General features: G+C 44.0%; 5 annotated features.

Moving 5' to 3' along the window:
• Nucleotides 11,896-11,975: a silencer, noted in NCBI's record as "silent region_18128". NCBI's record gives its function as "represses an Ori minimal core promoter by ATAC-STARR-seq in GM12878 lymphoblastoid cells {active_cell/tissue: GM12878}" and the evidence as "EXISTENCE:reporter gene assay evidence [ECO:0000049][PMID:35858748]".
• Nucleotides 15,882-16,251: an enhancer, noted in NCBI's record as "active region_25920". NCBI's record gives its function as "activates an Ori minimal core promoter by ATAC-STARR-seq in GM12878 lymphoblastoid cells {active_cell/tissue: GM12878}" and the evidence as "EXISTENCE:reporter gene assay evidence [ECO:0000049][PMID:35858748]".
• Nucleotides 15,882-16,501: a biological region, named in NCBI's record as "Sharpr-MPRA regulatory region 4653".
• Nucleotides 16,163-16,457: an enhancer, noted in NCBI's record as "tiled region #4653; HepG2 Activating non-DNase unmatched - State 2:TssF, and K562 Activating DNase matched - State 5:Enh". NCBI's record gives its function as "activates a minimal TATA promoter and a strong SV40 promoter by Sharpr-MPRA in HepG2 and K562 cells {active_cell/tissue: HepG2 | K562}" and the evidence as "EXISTENCE:reporter gene assay evidence [ECO:0000049][PMID:27701403]".
• Nucleotides 16,382-16,501: an enhancer, noted in NCBI's record as "active region_25919". NCBI's record gives its function as "activates an Ori minimal core promoter by ATAC-STARR-seq in GM12878 lymphoblastoid cells {active_cell/tissue: GM12878}" and the evidence as "EXISTENCE:reporter gene assay evidence [ECO:0000049][PMID:35858748]".

The following is an 18,469-nucleotide window of genomic DNA, read 5'->3' as shown; positions in this document are numbered from 1 at the left end:
TTGGATTCTCATTTGTCCAGGCTCTGTCCTGGAGGGAGCAGAAGGGAAGGAGCAAGGGAAAACCTGCCCAGGCCACTAGCCCCGCTGGGCCTACGAAGGCAGTGTGGGTGTCAGTGTGTAACAACTGGCTCTCCAGGATGGGGGCAGGGAAGCCATCTGCCAATTTCTGTGGTGTAAATGCTCCTGACATGGCTGATTTCCAGACACCAGTGATGTTCCTGAAAGTGGAGTTGGGAAGTTTAGAGTGTGTTCTCTGATACCAACCAATTCTTCAGATTCTCTGATATCAACTGGGTGTCCAACAATTTAAGAAATAAAAATGAAATCCTAAACTCCCCAGCCAACTGAAGGAACTCCCTCTTGGCCAAGGAGACCCCAGAGAAACCTTGAAAACAGTTCCAGGCCATGACAGGGTGGAAGGTTGGACACATCTTGTTATACTCCTCCCTAACCACAATTAGGCTTTTTCCCCTAAGGGCTAAACAGAACAATCAACCAATTGCCTGCTGCTACCCCTTGTTTTGTGGTTTTGGCACAACCACCACCAATCATGAAGTGGTTTCGGCCAGTCTACAGAGGATGTGTAGTAAGGGTTTTTATGTCCTCTGCTTCACTTTTTTATGTCAGAGCACTGAAAAACTCAACCTTCAGATCATGCTAACACCACCATTTTTGAACATCGGTTTCTTATAAAGGCATGAAGCTCAACTGCACGTGCACATGGTTCTACGTTCATAAATATTCATGACTCCTTCTATAGCTTATTGAATATGTATATTTGGCCACACCATTCAGCATAAATCCCTATCTCACTCTTCTACCTTCGAAGTGTCTGTTTCTGGCTTCTGGACCGATGCTATGCTCCCCAGCCTCTCAGAATGGCTACCCTGGAGGCTGCAAACCTTTGTGAGAAATAAAGCTCTCCTTTCCACATTTATCAATCTCATTATTCTTCTTTGGTTGACAAATTCATTTCAATTCTGACACTAATCACCCAGATTAGCATTAGACCCCACAAGTTAAATGGCTCAGTCCCACAAAACTGCCCCCACTTCAGACACCCAGGCCACCCATATCTCTGTCTGGCTGACTACAAATTAGGGGTTCCTACAACACCCTCATTATATTTGATAATTTTCTAAAATGGCTCACAGAACTAAGGAAAACACTTTTACTTACATTTACTGGTTTATTATATTTAAAGAGTGTTTTTTTTTTTAGAGATTGGGTGTCAGGATATTGCCCAGGCTGGTCTCAAACTCCTGGCCTCAAACGATCCTCCCACCTCAGCCTCCCAAATGTTGGGATTATAGGCATGAGCCACTGTGCCTGGCCTACAAGTTTATTATAAAGGACAGAAGTTGGTTTTGTTTTGTTTTTTTAGTCCCGCTGTGTGATGTTACCCAGACTGGAGTGCAATGGTGCAATCATGGCTCACTGCAGCCTCAACCTCCTGAGCACAAGTGATCCTTCCAGCTTAGCCTCCCAAGTAGCTGGGACTACAGCCACATGCCACCACACCTGGCTATTTTTTTTTTTTTTTGTATTTTTTGTAGAGATGGGGGTCTCACCATGTTGGCCAGGCTGGTCTTGAACTCCTGGGGTCAACAGATCCTCCCATCTCAGCCTCCCAAAATGTTGTGATTACAGGCATGAACCACTGCACCCTGCCTACTAGTTTATTATAAAGGATACAACTTGGGAACAGACAAATGGAAAGCACGCATAGGGAAAGCTATGTGGGGAGGGGTATGAAGCTTCCATGCCCTGGAGGCACCACCCTCGTGTCCTCAGTGTGTTTGCCAATCCAGAAGCTCTTGGAGTCTCATTGTTCAAGAGCTTTTACAGAACTCAATCTCTAGCTCCCCCTCCTCCTTCCCAGCTGTCAGTGGGTACAGCTGAAAGTTCCCACCCTCTAATCACTTGGTCTTTCTGGTGACCAGCCCCCTCCTGAGGCTATAAGTGGGGCTCATCTCATTAGCATAAACTCAGGTTATCCAAAAGGACTCATTATAAATAACAAAAGACACTCTATCACTCAGGAAATTCTAAGTGTTTTAGGAGCTCTGTGCTAGTGTACAAAGACCAAATGTATATATATTTTTGTATTACACCATAGGAAAAGATATGCTGCAGCACGTTACTGCACTATGCATGAATAAATATCCCTCAAGAAGATAGTCACATTCAAATTAAATTAAAATAATTATGGAAACTGACCAGGTGGTTGAAATGAAAAAAAATTAAATGTGATTGGTATTATTTTATTTTATTTTCTGAGACAGGGTCTCACTCTGTTGCCCAGGCTGGAGTGCAGTGGTGTGATCTCTTACTGCAACCTCCGCCACGTGGGCTCAAGCAATCCTCCCATCTCAGCCTCCCAAGTAGCTGCAACTATAGGCATCACCATCATGCCCAGCTAACTTTTATATTTTTTATAGAGATGGGGTTTCACCATGTTGCCCAGGCTGGAGATGTGATTGGTTTTAAATAGATATTACTTTTGTTTTAAAAATAATTTAATTGCAAGTTTTACAATTTAATTGTTAATAATAGGTTAACTGCAAGAAATAAAAATAAAATTCTAAGCCCCCAACTGACTGAATGGATCCTCTCTTGCCCATGGGAACCCCAGAGAAACCCTGGAAGACAGAATTAATGGCCACAATGGGAAGGGAGATCAGAAATACCTCATTATACCCCCTCCCTTACTAATAGCTATTAGGTTTTATTCTGTAAGGACTAAACAGAAACCATCTCTTTCAAATACTACTAGCTTATCTTCCCAGGTACATAACAAAGACAAGATAAAAGTAATTCTTCATTCCTCCCCGAGCCCCCCTGCTTCATCTGTTCCCTTTAGCTTCAAATGTTCACCTTATCTTATGTAAAATGTAGATTTATTGGGTATTAACAAAAGCCTCACAAACATGTAATTATTTGTCTCACTGCTGCCTCCCCAGCCTTTTTTTTTTTTTTTTCTGAGGCAAGGTCTCACTCTGTTACCCAGGTTGTAGTGCAGTGGCTCACTGAAACCTCTGCCCCTCCAGGCTCAAGCTATTCTCCCACCTCAGCCTCCCAAGTAGCTGGTGACCACAGGTGTCCACTACCACGCCCAGCTAAGTTTCTTTCTTTTTTTTTTTTTGTAGAGATGGAGTTCTGCTACGTTGCCTAGGCTGGTCTTGAACTCTTGGGCTCAAGTGATCAGTCCATCTCAGCCTCCGTAAGTGCTGGGATTACAGGCATGAGCCACCACTCCTGGCGCACCCCCCAACCTTTTTAAAGGAAAATGTATAAATAATAAACCTCTTTGGGAAAATACAGTCACAGAAGCTTCTGTGACTCCTGTTTTCCCAGGCATACCCTCTACTTGGCTGAATAAACTTTGATGATTCACGACTTAGGTCTAAATCACTCATTTTGGTGGTCAACTGTCAGCTCACAACAGTCCTTAAAACTTAACAATTTCCTCTTGTGAGCCGGTATAAGCTAGCCTCAGCACTCCACTCCACAAAATTATTTACTTTCATCATTTGTCCATATGACAAGCAATGAAATGTCTGGCAAAGATTTCCAAATATAAGCAAACATTTTATATGTATATATATATTTTAAAAGTATATCTTAATATACATTTATATATTTATATACTATAATATATAAGTATTATAAATATATGTATTTATATAAATATAATATATAATATGATATTTATATTATAAATATATATATATATATTTTTTTTCTTTTTGAGATGGAGTCTTGCTCTGTCACCCAGGCTGGAGTGCAGTGGTACAATCTCTGCTCACTGGAACCTCCACCTCCCGGGTTCAAGCGATTCTCCTGCCTCAGTCTCCTGAGTAGCTGGGATTACAGACGTTCACCACCACGCCCAGCTAATTTTTTGTATTTTTAGTAGAGACAGAGTTTCACCATGTTGGCCAGGCTGGTCTCCACCTCCTGGGCTCAAGTGATCTGCCTGCCTCGGCCTTCCAAAGTGCTGGGATTACAGGTGTGAGACACTGCGCCTGACCACAAACACATATTTACTTTATTTTATTTATTTATTTTTTTGAGATGACTCTGTTGCCCAGGCTGGAGTGCAGTGGCACTATCTCAGCAACCCCTGCCTCCCAAGCCCAAGTGATCCTCCCACCTCAGCCTCCCAAGTAGCTGGGACTACAGTCACACATCACTGGGCCTGGCTAATTTTTGTATTTTGTGTAGAGACAGGGTTTCACCATGTTGCCCAGGATGGTCTCAAATTTCTGGACTCAAGCAATCAGCCCACATTGGCCTCCCAAAGTGTTGGGATCACAGACACAAGCCACTGTGCCCAGCCTGCAAATATATATTTAAATAGATTCTAGGCTTGTGTTTGAAAAGAGGAGTAAGAGCAGACCTCACCAGCCCATCTGGCCTCTTGTTTCCAGTGGTCAGCATCTGAGAAGTGAGCAGAGGCCTTTCTCCCATGCCTCCTCCTGGATGTCCCATGGGCACCACCTCCACATGCTAGTTTCAAGCACAGGCTACCCTGGTGAACAGACCACATTTGGAAATGCATATGTTTCTGTTTGTTTTCTGGCCCAGAGCCCATTCGGTAAGCTGAGTTTTTAGTGTCCCCATTAAGGACAGTGACAACAGTGACAGAAGCTCATTCACTGTCAGTGGCAGCCTTGACTTTAGGGCCCCAGGGGCTGTCCTCCCTTTATCCTGCCTGGCTCAGAAGATGCCCACAATGGTTTATCAGTGAGTCCAAAAGCATGGCCCCAGCCCCCAGGTGGGCTGCCTGGATTCTGCTTTGGGTCATGGGCCTATATCTTCCTACCCTCAATCTGCTGTCTTTTCACCCAGAGCACAGTTGCCAGAGCCCCAGAGGGTGTGCATGGCTCAGAGATTGGCATCCCCAGCAGGCAATGGCGTCAGGGTGGGGGCTGGCTGGTTTTGAGAGAGTGGAAAGAGTTTCCAAGTCAGACTGATCTGGACGGGGGTCACTGGCCCACCAAGTCACTTTCCTTCTACAAACTATTGTGAAGATGATAATGTTATAGCTCAATGGGTTCTTCTTACCTGCTGCACAGATAAAGCCAATGCATTGAGATAGTGGCATTGGAGCAGAGAAAGAGTTTGATTATCACAAGGCAGCTGAGTGGAAAGACAGAAGGTATTTCTCAAATTGGTCTCCCTGAGAATTTGGAGGCTAGGGTTTTTAAGGACTTCTTTCACGGGCAGGGGGCCAGAGAGTGAGAAATCCTGATTGGCTGGGTCAGGGATAAAATCATAGGAACTTAATTCCTGGTGGGGGGTCAGTGGTCTTAGTGGCATCAGTTGTTCCACCGGAATGCAAAGCCTGAAAAATATCTCAAACACCAGTCTTAGGTCTTACAATAGCAATGTTATCAATAGGGGCAATTAGGTACATTACAAATTATAAATCTTGTGACCACTGGCTACATGACTCCTGAGCAGTAAGCAAGTTACAAAACATGACTAGTTGTCATTTATTTAATTTAATTTTTTTTTGTTTTGAGACAGGGTTTCACTCTGTTGCCCAGGCAAGAGTGCAATGGCACAATCATAGTTCACTGAAGCCTCGACCTTCTGGGCTCAAGCAATCCTCCCACCTCAGCCTTCTGGGTAGCTGGGACTACGGGTGCATGCCACCACACCTATCTAATTTTTTGTATTTTCTGTAGAGATACGGTCTAGGCTGGTCTCAAACTCCTAGGGTCAAGCGATCCACCTGCCTTGGCCTCCCAAAGTGTTGGGATTACAGGCATACCCACCTTGCCTGGCTTGCCTAGTTATCATTTATCTATGCATAGGTCTTAGCAGAATTCAGACCCCTCCTATAATTCTAACTTTGTGGTCTTTTATTAGTTTTACAAAGGCGACATCCATCCCCAGACAAGTAGGGGGGTAGTTTTGGGAAGGTACCATTGCTATTGCTTTAAGGTTAAACTGCACACTAAACTCCTTCCATGGCAAGCTTGGCCTACACCCAGGAATGAGCAAAGACAATCAGCTTGTGAGGTTGGAAGCAAGATGGAATCAGTTACGTCTTTCACTGTCATAATTTTTGCAAGAACAATTTCAGTAAGGCCTATTCAGAGCACTTAGCTATTGGCAGCCACTCTGGTGGTGGAAATGGTGACAGTGGCAGTGACAATGATGATGATGATGATGGTAGTGATGATGACAATAATGACTACAATGATGAATCGCCCCCATCCCACTGGGCAGCACTGCACTGGTGAGGGATGTCCCTCCATCCCCACCTTTATATACAGAACCTTGTCTTTTACAACCCTCCCAACTCCAGGACAGTCTTCCTGTGGGTGAGCCTGGAGGTCATCACTGTTTCAAAGGGAAACCTTTGAGCAGAATGAGATGCAAACAGTGATGACTTCCAGGCTCACCCACAGGAAGACTGTCTTGGAGTATTATAAGGATGAATGAGTAGTAGCAGAATGAGGATGTTTCTAAGCTCTCTCCAGTCCCTGAACAAATTATTCCAGTTAGGTTGCATTGTCACTTGATATCATTTGCTGTAACAGAACTTGTAGTCACAGTGTCTCCGGTATATGACTCAGTGTAGTGGCACAGAGCGGATCCAGGAGAGTCCCATCAAGCTCATTGCTCACTCAATGGATGACTCTTCACTGAGAACTTATGATGTGCCATGATCTAGCTGGTGTTCTGAGGACATTGAGAGGATCCCTCTCAGGGATGGTTACAATAAAGCTCCTGGTCTCTGGAAGAAACAGACACACATTCAAACAATTACAATGCCATGCTATGGGCAGGGACCAGCCTGGCACCAAGAGAAGAGTGGCAACTCCACCTGGAGGAGTGAGCCATCATGCCTGGCTTGTGTAGTAAATTTCTATTCAACTCCATTGGCTTATCCATTTACTTATAAACATACAGACATCCAGATAGTAACTTTAAGCTCCAATACTGCAGTCTTTTGTTTCTTAGGAATTCAGGCCTACTTTGGTGACTGGGGGCTCTTTCTATTGGCTCTTTTTTTTTTTTTTTTTTCATTTTGTGACAGAGTTTTGCTCTTGTTGTCCAGGCTGGAGTACAACGGCGCGGTCTTGGCTCACTGCAACCTCCACCTCCCAGGTTCAAGTGATTTTCCTGTCTCAGCCTCCTGAGTAGCTGAGATTACAGGTGCATGCCACCACACCCTGCCAATCTTTGAGTTTTTAGGAGAGATGGGGTTTCGCCCTGTTGGTCAGGCTGGTCTCAAACTCCTGATCTCAGGTGATCCACCCACCTTGGCCTCCCAAAGCGCTGGGATTACAGGTATGAGCCACCACGTCCAGCCACTGGCTCCTGTTTTACTTTGACTTAATGAAGCGACATTGTTCGTTTGGGGTAATACTTGAGGTTCATTGCCTCATGCTGAGGAAATCAAGGATGCGGACATATGTGGAGTGAGGTTAAGAGCAGAGGTTTAATAGGTGAAAGAAAGAGACTGGCTTGAGGAGGCGGTGTCTGATTTACATTAGGGCCCAAAGATCAGTTGGACCAGGGGTGACATTTACATAGTGCATGAAGAAGCTGGCTACCCCACCCTAATCTTCTTATTATGCAAATGGATGTTCTATTCAGCCAGCGCCCATGTTGTCTGCTCCTTACTGTACATGTGGTTGGCAAAGCAAAGGGAAGATGGAGCCCCCATGTTGAACATGCTTGGTCCCCAGGTAGCCTTTTCCTATTGGCACAGCTGCCAGCATTCACCTGTGCAAGTTTCCAGCTTGCTTATCTATGTCTGCAGCTCGATTTTACAGGCTGCTATTTGTTAGAAAATAAATGATTTTGGGGCTGCTTTTCATTAAAAGGGAAACCTTACTGAGGACTTCCTTACCCTCACTATCTGCCTAAATAATTTCTTTTTAACTCCAATATCATTAATTTCATCTGTTTTTTTTTCCTGAACACTTTTTAACTTTTTTTGTTTGTTATTTTTCATCCTTTTTTGAATGTCTGAAGACCACACTTTTTGATAGTTCAAGATTATCCTAGCTCATATATTTACTGTCCCAGCCCTAGTACCAGCCATTTCTTCAAACAGCCCTGATTCCTTTTATTAAAGAATGATGGCCAGGCGCGGTGGCTCATGCCTGTAATCCCAGCACTTTGGGAGGCCGAGGTGGGTAGATCACGAGGACAGGAGTTCAAGGCCAGCCAGGCCAAGATGGTGAAACCCCGTCTCTACTGAAAATACAAAAATCAGCTGGGCACAGTGGCAGGTGTCTGTAATCCCAGCTACTCAGGAGGCTGAGGCAGGAGAATCGCTTGAACCAGGGAGGCAGAGGTTGCAGTGAGCCAAGAATGTGCCACTGCACTCTAGCCTGGGCGACAGAGCAAGACTCTTTCTCAAAAAAAAAAAAAAAAAAAGAATGATATTAGCTGGACGTAGCAGCTCATACCTGTAATCCCTGCTGAGGCAGGAGAATCACTTAAGCCCAGGAGTTCGAGACCAGCCTGGGCAATGTAGTGAGACCCTGTCTCTACAAAAACTAAAAAAAAAAAAAAAAATTAGCTGAATGTGGTTGCACACACCTGTAGTACCAGCTGCTTAGAAAGCAGGAGGATTTCTTAAGCCCAGGAGTTTGAGGTTGCAGTGAGTCATGATCACACCATTGCACTTCAGTCTGGGCAACAGAGTGAGACCCTGTCTCAATAATAATAACAACAAATCTGGCTTTCCAGATTTTCTTTTTCTTTTCTTTTTTAAAAAATTAATTAGATAGAGATGGGGTCTCACTATGTTGCCCAGGCTGGTCTCAAACTCTTGGACTCAAGCAACCCTGCTTCAGCCTCCCAAAGTGTTGGGATTACAGGTGTGAGCCACCATGCCTAGCCTAATTTGTTTCTTTATATTGCTGATTAGTATTCTATTACATGAATATATCCCAATTTGCCCATGCATTTTTGAGAGCAAAACTTGCCTCTTCTAACTTTGTTCCAGTGGTTGAAGATCTGTAAGTTAACTGACAATAGACACATTAGCAGGGGACAATACTTGGCTTCTTTTCCTGCAAGTATCTTTGTAGGACATAATGCACCAAATGGCAGGATCCAGTTTTCAAAGAGGTGAAAATAGCTCAAAGACAATGAACAGGATTAGAATCTGATCCTGTGAGATTCTAAAATCTCAAGAGTGAGTTATCGTTTTCCATTGAAACATAAAATTTTTTGTACAGTCACCCTTATTTTTGATGAAATATAATCAAAGTAAAATTATTCTTGTTTGCAAAATAAGTCTAGATCAGACTTAGAGTTTGCCTGATTATTTACATAAGTTCAGTAAGAATGGTAACCATATAGGTCTTTTTAAGTTGGCTTTCCTGGAACTTTTCATAAGGAATGTTAGGTTGAGGCTGGGCATGGTGTCTCATACCTGTAATCCCAGCACTTTGGGAAGCCAAGGTCAGGGGATCTCTTGAGCCCGGGAGTTCGACCAGCCTGGCCACAAGCAAAACCTGTCTCAATTTAAAAAAAAAAAAAAAAAAAAAGGACTATCAGGTTGGACTTTTAAAAGCCCTCTTGAGGCTAGGAAGCCAAGCCAAGGATCTACCACCAGACTTCACCTGCAGTAACTATAGATTTGGGTGAATTCTCCTCTTCTTGACCCCAAAATATCCTGTTTTCTGGTCTTTTCAGGAAGTGACCATCTCTACTCACTTGTTAGGTTTGGAACTCTGTAATTCAGGTATCAGGCTCCCTGTCACACAGAGGGTTTTGTAACCTAGAGGTTTTGGTGAACATTGGTTCTGTAAAGTCAACCTTAGTTCCTTAAAATTATCTGGTCATATCTGATCCTATGTACATCATTCTCAACTGGGACATTACAGTCAATGCATTTGTGACATTACCAATTTTCTCAATTATGTCCTGTTATAAGGTAAAGAGATTCTTATTGAATTTATGCAAATAACTATATTGCCATGAAACTAAAAATATTCAATAAGAGTTTCTAAATTCTGGAGGGATCAGGCAGGGAGAAAAAGATAAATATTTCATTTCTGTTTATAAAAGTATAGTCTCCTAAATTGTTATAGGATATAGTTATCATAAGAGAAAAAGTTTCTTTAAATCCAGAAAATAGAACATTAAAGAACCAGCAATAGTTGGGTGTGGTGGCGTATAATCCCAGATACTCAGGCAGCTGAGGTGGAAGGATGCTTCAACCCAAGAGTTTGATACCAGTGTGGACAACATAGTGAGGCTCCATCTCTAATCCATCAAAAAAGAAAAAAAAAAAGCCTGGCGTGGTGGCATATGCCTGTATTTCTAGCTACTTGGGAGGCTGAGGCGGGAGGATTGCCTGAGCCCCAAAATTCCAGGCTGCAGTGAGCTATGATGATGCCACTGTACTACAGCCTGGGACACAGAGCAAGATGCCGTCTCTAAAAATAATAATAATAGGCCAGGGGCAGTGGCTCACGCTTGTAATCCCAGCACTTTGGGAGGCCCAGGTGGGCTTGCTTGAGATCAGGAGTTCGAGACCAGCCTGGCCAACATGGTGAAACCCCGTCTCTACTAAAAATACAAAAATTAGCCAGGCGTGGTGGCAGGCTCCTGTAGTCCCAGCTACTGGGGAGGCTGAGGCAAGAGAATCGCTTGAACCCAAGAGGTGGAGGTTGCAGTGAGCCCAGATTGTGCCACGGCACTCCAGCAGCCTGGGTGACAGAGTGAGGCTCCGTCTCAAAAAAAAAAAAAAAAAAAGATATAAATTGGCTATGGTTAAGATCTAATGAAAGTTCATTATAATGCAAGGAAATTTGGTTGTTTCTGTGGCATACAACATTTAAAATACTAACTGAAATTATGACTTATAACATTACATTGGGACATATCTTGGATAGGGAGGACATTGACAAATTTCCAGGGACTTGACACAATTTCTGAAACAATAACATTTTACCCATACAAATATAACCTAGAGAAGGTTAGTATCTCTTTCTCTCTCTCTCTTTTTTGAGAGAAGGTCTCTTCCACCAAGGTGGGAGTGCAGTGGCCTAATCATGGCTTACTGCAGCCTTGACCTCCTGGGCTCAGGCGATCCTCCCACTTCAGCCTCCCTAGTAGCTGGGACTATAAGTGTGTGCCATCACACCCGGCTATGGTGTGTGTGTGTGTGTGTGTGTGTGTGTGTGTGTGTGTGTGAAAGCAAGTTTATTAGAGAAGTAAAGAAACAAAAGAATGGCTACTCCACAGGCAGAGCAACCTAATTTTTGTATTTTTTGTAGAGGTGGGTTGGTTGCAGGGTGCAGGGGTGTCTAGGCTGGTCTCAAACTCCTGGGCTCAAGCGGTTCTCCCACCTCAGCCGCTCAAGGTGCTGGGATTAAGGTGTGAACCACTGTGCCTGGCTAAGTAGTTCTCATTTGACATTGCTTTCCATGTGATTTAATGTAACTTTAGAATTTTTATAGCTTGTATTATTATTTTTTTGAGACGGAATTTCGCTCTTGTTGCTCAGGCTGGAGTGCAATGGCGCGATCTCGGCTCACAGCAACCTCCACCTCCCAGGTTCAAGCGATTCTCCTGCCTCAGCCTCCCGAGTAGCTGGGATTACAGGCATGCGTCACCACGCCCGGCTAATTTTGTATTTTTAGTAGAGACGGGGGTTTCTCCATGTTGGTCAGGCTGGTCTCGAACTCCCGACCTCAGGTGATCCGCTCGCCTCAGCCTCCCAAAGTGCTGGGATTACAGGCGTGAGCCACCGCGCCCGGCCAGCTTTGTATTTTAAATTTAAGTCAATGGACTATTTTGAATGAATTTTTGTGAAACTTGTAAAGTTTGGATCTACATTTATTTCGTTCCGATTAATAATTTCTTTAACATTTTTGAGAAAGACACAGGATAGTGGGCCCCATTTTATTTTGAACGTCCGTAATCATGGCATTGAACGATCTGAATTTAATTAATTCAACCAGACAGCCAGGAGGGGGCACGCGGCCACCGCTAAACAGTGAGCGAGCGCCGAGGGCCCCGCGCTGCCCCAGATGACCAGCAGGGGGCGTGCGAGCCGCCTTGTCGGACCCCTGAGAAGCCCCCACCGCCTCCGTGCTCCTACTGCGGCCGCCAGCGCCGGGCCCGCAGTGAGGAGGAGAACCTCATTTTCCTCAACACAGATCTAAGGGGACACCGCCTCACTTTGAGACAACTTGAGGCTGCGTCAGTGGTGAGTAAAATCCTTCCTGTCACAGTCCTGACTACTGAGGAGCAGTTGGTCTTCAGAACCCCCAGTAGAGGAAGGGCTTCATGTGGAATTTTGGAAATAAAAAACCCCGGTTTCCACCACACAGGAGGTCCTTCTCAACAGCTAAGACACAGTGGCTGCTAGTATAATACCACGCAGCAGCCTTTTAATACTAACATCACATTCAGAGGCTTACCAGGGAGACTGGTTTCCTAGCTTTGGCTGAACTGGATTTGGGTCAGGCTTAGCCTCTGGAATGAAGTTTGGTGTCACCTCTGCTTTACTGACGCGGTATTGACGTGGTTGATTGATTGATTGATTGATTTTTTTTTTCTAGAGACAGAGCTCCCTATGTTGCCCAGGCTCCAAATCGTGACCTCAAGTGATCCGCCCGCCTCAGCCTTCCAAAGTGCTGGGATTACAGGCCTGAACCACCATGCCTTAGCCTTATTTTTCATTTTTTAGACAGTCTCAATCTGTCAGGCTGGAGTGCAGTGGCACGATCATAGCTCACTGCAGCCTTTAACGTCTGGGCTGAAGGATCCTCCCGTTTCATCTTCCTGAGTAGCTGGGACTACAGGCATGCACCACCAAGCCTGGCTAATTTTTAATTTTATTGTAGAGAAGATGTCTATGTTGCCCAGGCTGGTCTTCAGCTCCTGGATGCAAGCGTTCCTCACGCAAGCGAACCCAGCCCACATGGTTGTTTAAAAAAGTAATTACTGAGGTCAGGAGTTCAAGACCAGCCTGGCCAACATGGTAAAACCCCGTCTCTACTAAAAATACAAAAATTAGCCGAGTGTAGGGGCAGGTGCCTGTAATCCCAGCTACTCCGGAGGCTGAGGCAGGAGAATCGCTTAAACCCAGGAGGCGGAAGTTGCAGTGAGCTGAGATTGAGCCACTGCACTCCAGCCTGGGCGACAGAACAAGACTCCGTCTCAAAAAAAAAAAAAGTAATTACTTTTTGAGGCTGGGCGTGGTGGCTCACGCCTGTAATCCCAGCACTTTGAGAGGCCCAGGCAGGAGGATCACTTGAACCCAGGAGTTCGAGATCAGCCTAGCCAACATGGTGAAACCCCGTCTCTACCAAAAAATACAAAAATAGCAGGGCATGGTGATGTGTACCTATAATCCCAGCTACTCGGGAGGCGGAGGCAAGAGAATCTCATGAACTTGAGAGGTGGAGGTTGCAGTGAAATTGCACCTTTGCATTGCAGCCTGGGCGACAGAGGGAGACTGTCTTAAATAAATAAATAAATAAAAGTAATTACTTTTTGATAATTTCATTCTTATGGAAAACTTGCAATAGCAATACAAATCCCTGTCCTTTCTATCAAAGTCTCCAGTGGTTATTGCTGTACCAGATTTGTAATTTCACACAAAATACTTGTTTTTTTACCCAAAGCAGGGACACTCTCCCAGGTAACAATCACTCTCCCCTTTATCAGGAAATCGACAAGAATTACAAAAATGACCTGGGCGTGGTGGCACACGCCTGTGATCCCAGCTACTCAGGAGGCTGAGGCAGGAGAATCACTGGAACCTGGGAGGTGGAGGTTGCAGTGAGCAGAGATGGACCCAGTGCACTTTAGCCTGGGGGACAGAGTGAGACTCAGTCTCAGAAAAAAAAAAAAAGAAAGAAAGAAAAAGAAAAGAAAAAGAAATTAACACAGTGTCCACATGGCAATCCAGTCCTCAGACCTACTTTGCTTCACCACCTGCTCCAGTGTGGGTGGGAAAAAGATTATCTGCATTTAAAAATTTTTTTCTAACTCCTTGAGTGGCAGATAAAGCAATTTTTATGCCAGACACTGATACTTACATTATGGCTCTGAGCTCAAGATTTTAACCTGTCTGATCTGAGAGCCTAACTTTTCTAAACATTTATGTAATTCTTCTAGACTATTAGTCTTTCAATTACCTGTTTTGTCACCATACACAGTTGTTAGGCAGGCAAACCTAAATTTACATTTCCGAAAGGGACAGTTCAGGTGTCTAGGTTGTTTATCATGGAGCTGTTATTTGTAAAGTCATTAATTTGAAATGGCTTTAAGTCTTTTTTTAAAAAATCTTGGCTCAAATGTCATAAGCAGTGATTTTTATCTCAACACCAGCAGAAAAGTCAGCAGATTGAAAGTAGGCAGGAAAAAAATAAAATAGAGAGATAGAGAACTTCGAAGATTTTGCTTGTTAACCGCATAGTTGGTTGTAGTTTTCTTAGTGACCATCTGAGCTCTGAACTTTCCTTGATAGAATTTGCCCATCTGTTTCAAAATGTGCATGAGAATGAGCCATAATATAGTCAGCTGGAATCCTCAAAGGAAGGTTGTTTTGGCATGGCTTTAGAGTTTAGGATCTCATTCCATTTCTTTTTCTTTATTTTTATTTTTTTGTTTTTGTTTTTTTGAGACACAGTCTCACTCTGTTGCCCAGGCTGGAGTGCAGTGGTTTGACCTTGGCTCACTGCAACATCTTCTGGCTGGATTCAGGCTATTCTCCTTTCTCAGCCTCCTGAGTAGCTGGGAGTACAGGCGCCTGCCACCACGCCTGGCTAATTTTTGTATCTTTAGCAGAGATGGGATTTCACCATGTTGGCCAGGCTGGTCTTGAACTCCTGACCTCAAATGATCTGCCTACCTCAGCCTCCCAAAGTGCTGGGATTGCAGGCATGAGCCACTGTGCCCGGCTTCATTCCATTTCTTATTAATCTCTTGAGAGCAAAGAAATTCCCATAAATCTTTTCAGGGAATGTCAGGAGTTTGGACCAATATTTTACATCAATTTCAGTATGGTAACCACGTTCCTTCACCAAAGTAATACTTTTCACAACACACTGCATAAGTAACATTTGTGGAAACGTCTTTTTAAAATAGTATATAAATAACATTTCAGAAGCCTGTTTAACATGACTACAAACACTTCACTACATTCATTACTTCCTTACATGGAAGTTACACGGTTCACAACAAACTTTGTAAGTAGCATTTAAAAATTTTCTTCTACTTCTTTCCTATCTGGATGTCTGTCATGCTTTTTCTTGCTTGATTGTTGTGGCTAGGACTTCCAGTACTATATTGAATAGACATGGTGAGAGTTGGCATCTTTGTCTTGTTCCTGATCTTAGAGGAAAAAATATTTTCACAGTTAAATATGTTAGCTGTGGGCTTGTCAGAGATAGTCTTTGTCGTGCTGAGAAACATTACTCTTTTTTCAACATTCCTCTTTTGTTTTGGAGACAGGGTCTTGCTCTGTCACCCAGGCTGGAGTGCAGTGGTGCGATCTTGGCTCACTGCAACTTCTGCCTCCTCAGTTCAAGTGATTCTCCTGCCTCAGCCTCCCAAGTAGCTGGGATTACAAGTGTGTGCCACTGCACCCGGCTAATTTTTGTATTTTTAGTAGAAATGGGGTTTCACCATGTTGGCCGTGTTTTACCATGTTGGCCATCTTGAACTCCTGACCTCAGGTGACCCGCCCACCTGGGCCTCCCAAACTGCTGGGATTACAGGCATGAGCCACTGTGCCCGGCCTCAAAAGATTTTTAAATTTCTTCTTTGAGGCTGGGCACAGTGGCACACACCGGTAATCCCAGCACTTTGGGAGGCCAAGGCAGGCAGATTGCTTAAGCCCAGAAGTTTGAGACCAGCCTGGGCAACATGGTGAAACCCCTTCTCTACAAAAAATACAAAAAGCCAGATGTGGTGGTATGAGCCTGTAGTCCCAAGCTACTGGGGAGGCTGAGGTGGGGGGATCACTTGGACCCAGGAGGTTGAGGTTGTGGTGAGCTATTGAGCGACTAAGTGGCTAAGTTGGCTGGACTTCCTGGGTCAATAGGGACTTCCCTAAGGGGACTTTTCCCTAAGCCAAAATGAGTCATAGCTGCAAGCTAAGGGATTGAAACTTCAACCAATCAAAGGGGACTTTCTCCTAAGCCAAAATGAGTCATAGCTGCAAGCTAAGGGATTGAAACTTCAACCAATCATATAGGGAGTTTAAGCTCTAGCTGCAGCGTGATGTTTTTAACCAATCAGGCCCACCAACCCACAAGCGGATAGAAAATAAGCTAATCCTATAGGACAGGAAAAGGAAAAGGAAAAGGGAAGGAGTCATAAGGGCATATAAGCATAAGACACTCAAGCCAGGGCAACCCTTCCAGGTCCCCTTCCACCACGTGGAAGCTTTACTTTCACTTTTGCTTTACATTCACTTTCGCTTTAATAAATCTTGCTGCCACACACTCTTTGGGTCCACACGTTTCTCTAATTGAGCTGTAACACTTGCCACTGTGGTCCACAGCTTCATTCCTTGAAGCCCATGAGACCACAAACTCTTCGATCAAGAAAAACCTTTGATCGGAAGAAGACTTCTCATCTCACTATCATGTCACTGCACTCCAGTATGAGTGACGGAGTGAGACCCCATCTCAAAAAAAAAAATAATTCTTTGACCCATTGGTTGTATAGGAGCATGTTGTTTAAATTCTACATATTTGTGAATTTTCTGAAATTACTCCTATTATTGATTTCTAGTTTTATACCATTGTGATCAGAAAAGATACTTGTTATGATTTCAGTTTTCTTAATTTGTTATGACTTATTTTGTGACCTGATATATACTCTATCTTGGAGAATGTTCCATGTGCACTTGAGAAGATTGTGTATTCTGAATGACATGGTTTGCAGCTGTCCATAAGATCTGAAACATTATTTAAACATGTGTCTTCAGACGCTTCACTACATACATTACTTCCATTCACTAAAATAACACTGTTCATAACATATTGTAGCTCTGTCACCCAGGCCGGAGTGTAGTGGTATGATCACAGCTCACTGCAGCCTAGAACTGCTGGACTCAAGTGATCCTTCCACTTCAGCCTCCCAGAGTTCTGGAACTATGCCACCACACTCTGCTAATTTTAAATTTTTTGTAGAGAGTATCGTTATGTTGCCTAGGCTGGTCTTGAACTCCTGGACTCAAGCAATTCTCCTGCCTCGGCCTCCCAAAGTGCTGGGATTACAGGCATGAGCCACCATGCTTGACCACTAAGTAGCTTTCAAAGAAGCATCTTTCAAACAAGTATGTTTGTCATTTATTATATGCATGAGTGTGGCAAACCACTTTCATCCACTGAGTTAACACTGTTAACAACATAGTGTGTAAGTTACATTCTTTAGAAACATCATTTTTAATTAATTAGTTAATTAATTAATTTTGTAGAGTCTCATTATGTTGTCCAGGCTGGTCTGGAACAAAAATTAGCATAGTGGCATGCACCTGTAATCCCAGCTACACGGGAGGCTGAGGCAGGAGAATTGCTTGAACCCAGGAGATGGAGGTTGCAGTGAGCCAAGATCGTGCCATTGCACTCCAGCCTGGGCGATAGAGTGAGACTCTGTCTGAAAAAAAAAAAAAGTTGATTCAGGTCACAGTTAATGCAAATGTTTCAAAACTGGGTTTCTGATATTTGTAAATGTCTTTGTTTATTACATAAGAGTGTATTACCATTAAAGTTGGTATTGTATTGCTTTCAAAATGAGAAGGTAGGCTGGGCACAATGCCTCACACCTGTGATCCCAGCACTTTGGTAAACCAAGACAGGAGGATCACTTGAACCCAGGAGTTAAAGACCAGCCTGGGCAACATAATGAGACCCTGTCTCTACCAAAAAAAAAAAAAATGGTGTGGTGGCATATGCCTGTAGTCTCAGCTACTCAGGAGGCTGAGATGGGAGGACTGCTCGTGCCTGGATGGTTGAGGCCGCAGTGAGCCACACGCCACTACCCTCCAGCCTGGGCAAAAGAAGTGAGACTGTCTCAACTGTCTCAGAAAAAAAAAAGAAAAAAAAGAAATATGGTCTGTAAAACTCTTAGCACCTTGCCTGGAACATAAAGCTTGCTTAATAAATGGTAGTTAATATAATTTCTAGAAGTCAGCAAAAGAGACTGTAACTGCCCAAGGGGTTCACCTTACCCACTGCCTAGACAAGAGCCAATTCATCAAGACAGGGAATTATAATAGAGAAAGAGTAATTCACACAGGCCCGGCCATGGGGGAGACTGGAGTTTTATTATTACTCAAATCAGTCTCCCCCAGCATTCGCCCACCTTGGCCTCCCAAAGTGCTAGGATTACAGGCATGAGCCACTGCACCTGGCCTGGGGAGCAGAGTTTTTAAGGATAACTTGGTGGGTGGGGGGAAGCCAGTGAGCCAGGAGTGCTGATTGGTCAGGGATGAAATCATAGGGAGTCAAAG

This window comes from Homo sapiens, chromosome 7, assembly GCF_000001405.40.
Source record: "Homo sapiens chromosome 7, GRCh38.p14 Primary Assembly".
In the NCBI taxonomy this organism is placed as follows: domain Eukaryota; kingdom Metazoa; phylum Chordata; class Mammalia; order Primates; family Hominidae; genus Homo; species Homo sapiens.
The sequence above is the reverse complement of the archived record's forward strand: the minus strand, read 5'-3'. Positions and strand labels throughout refer to the sequence as shown.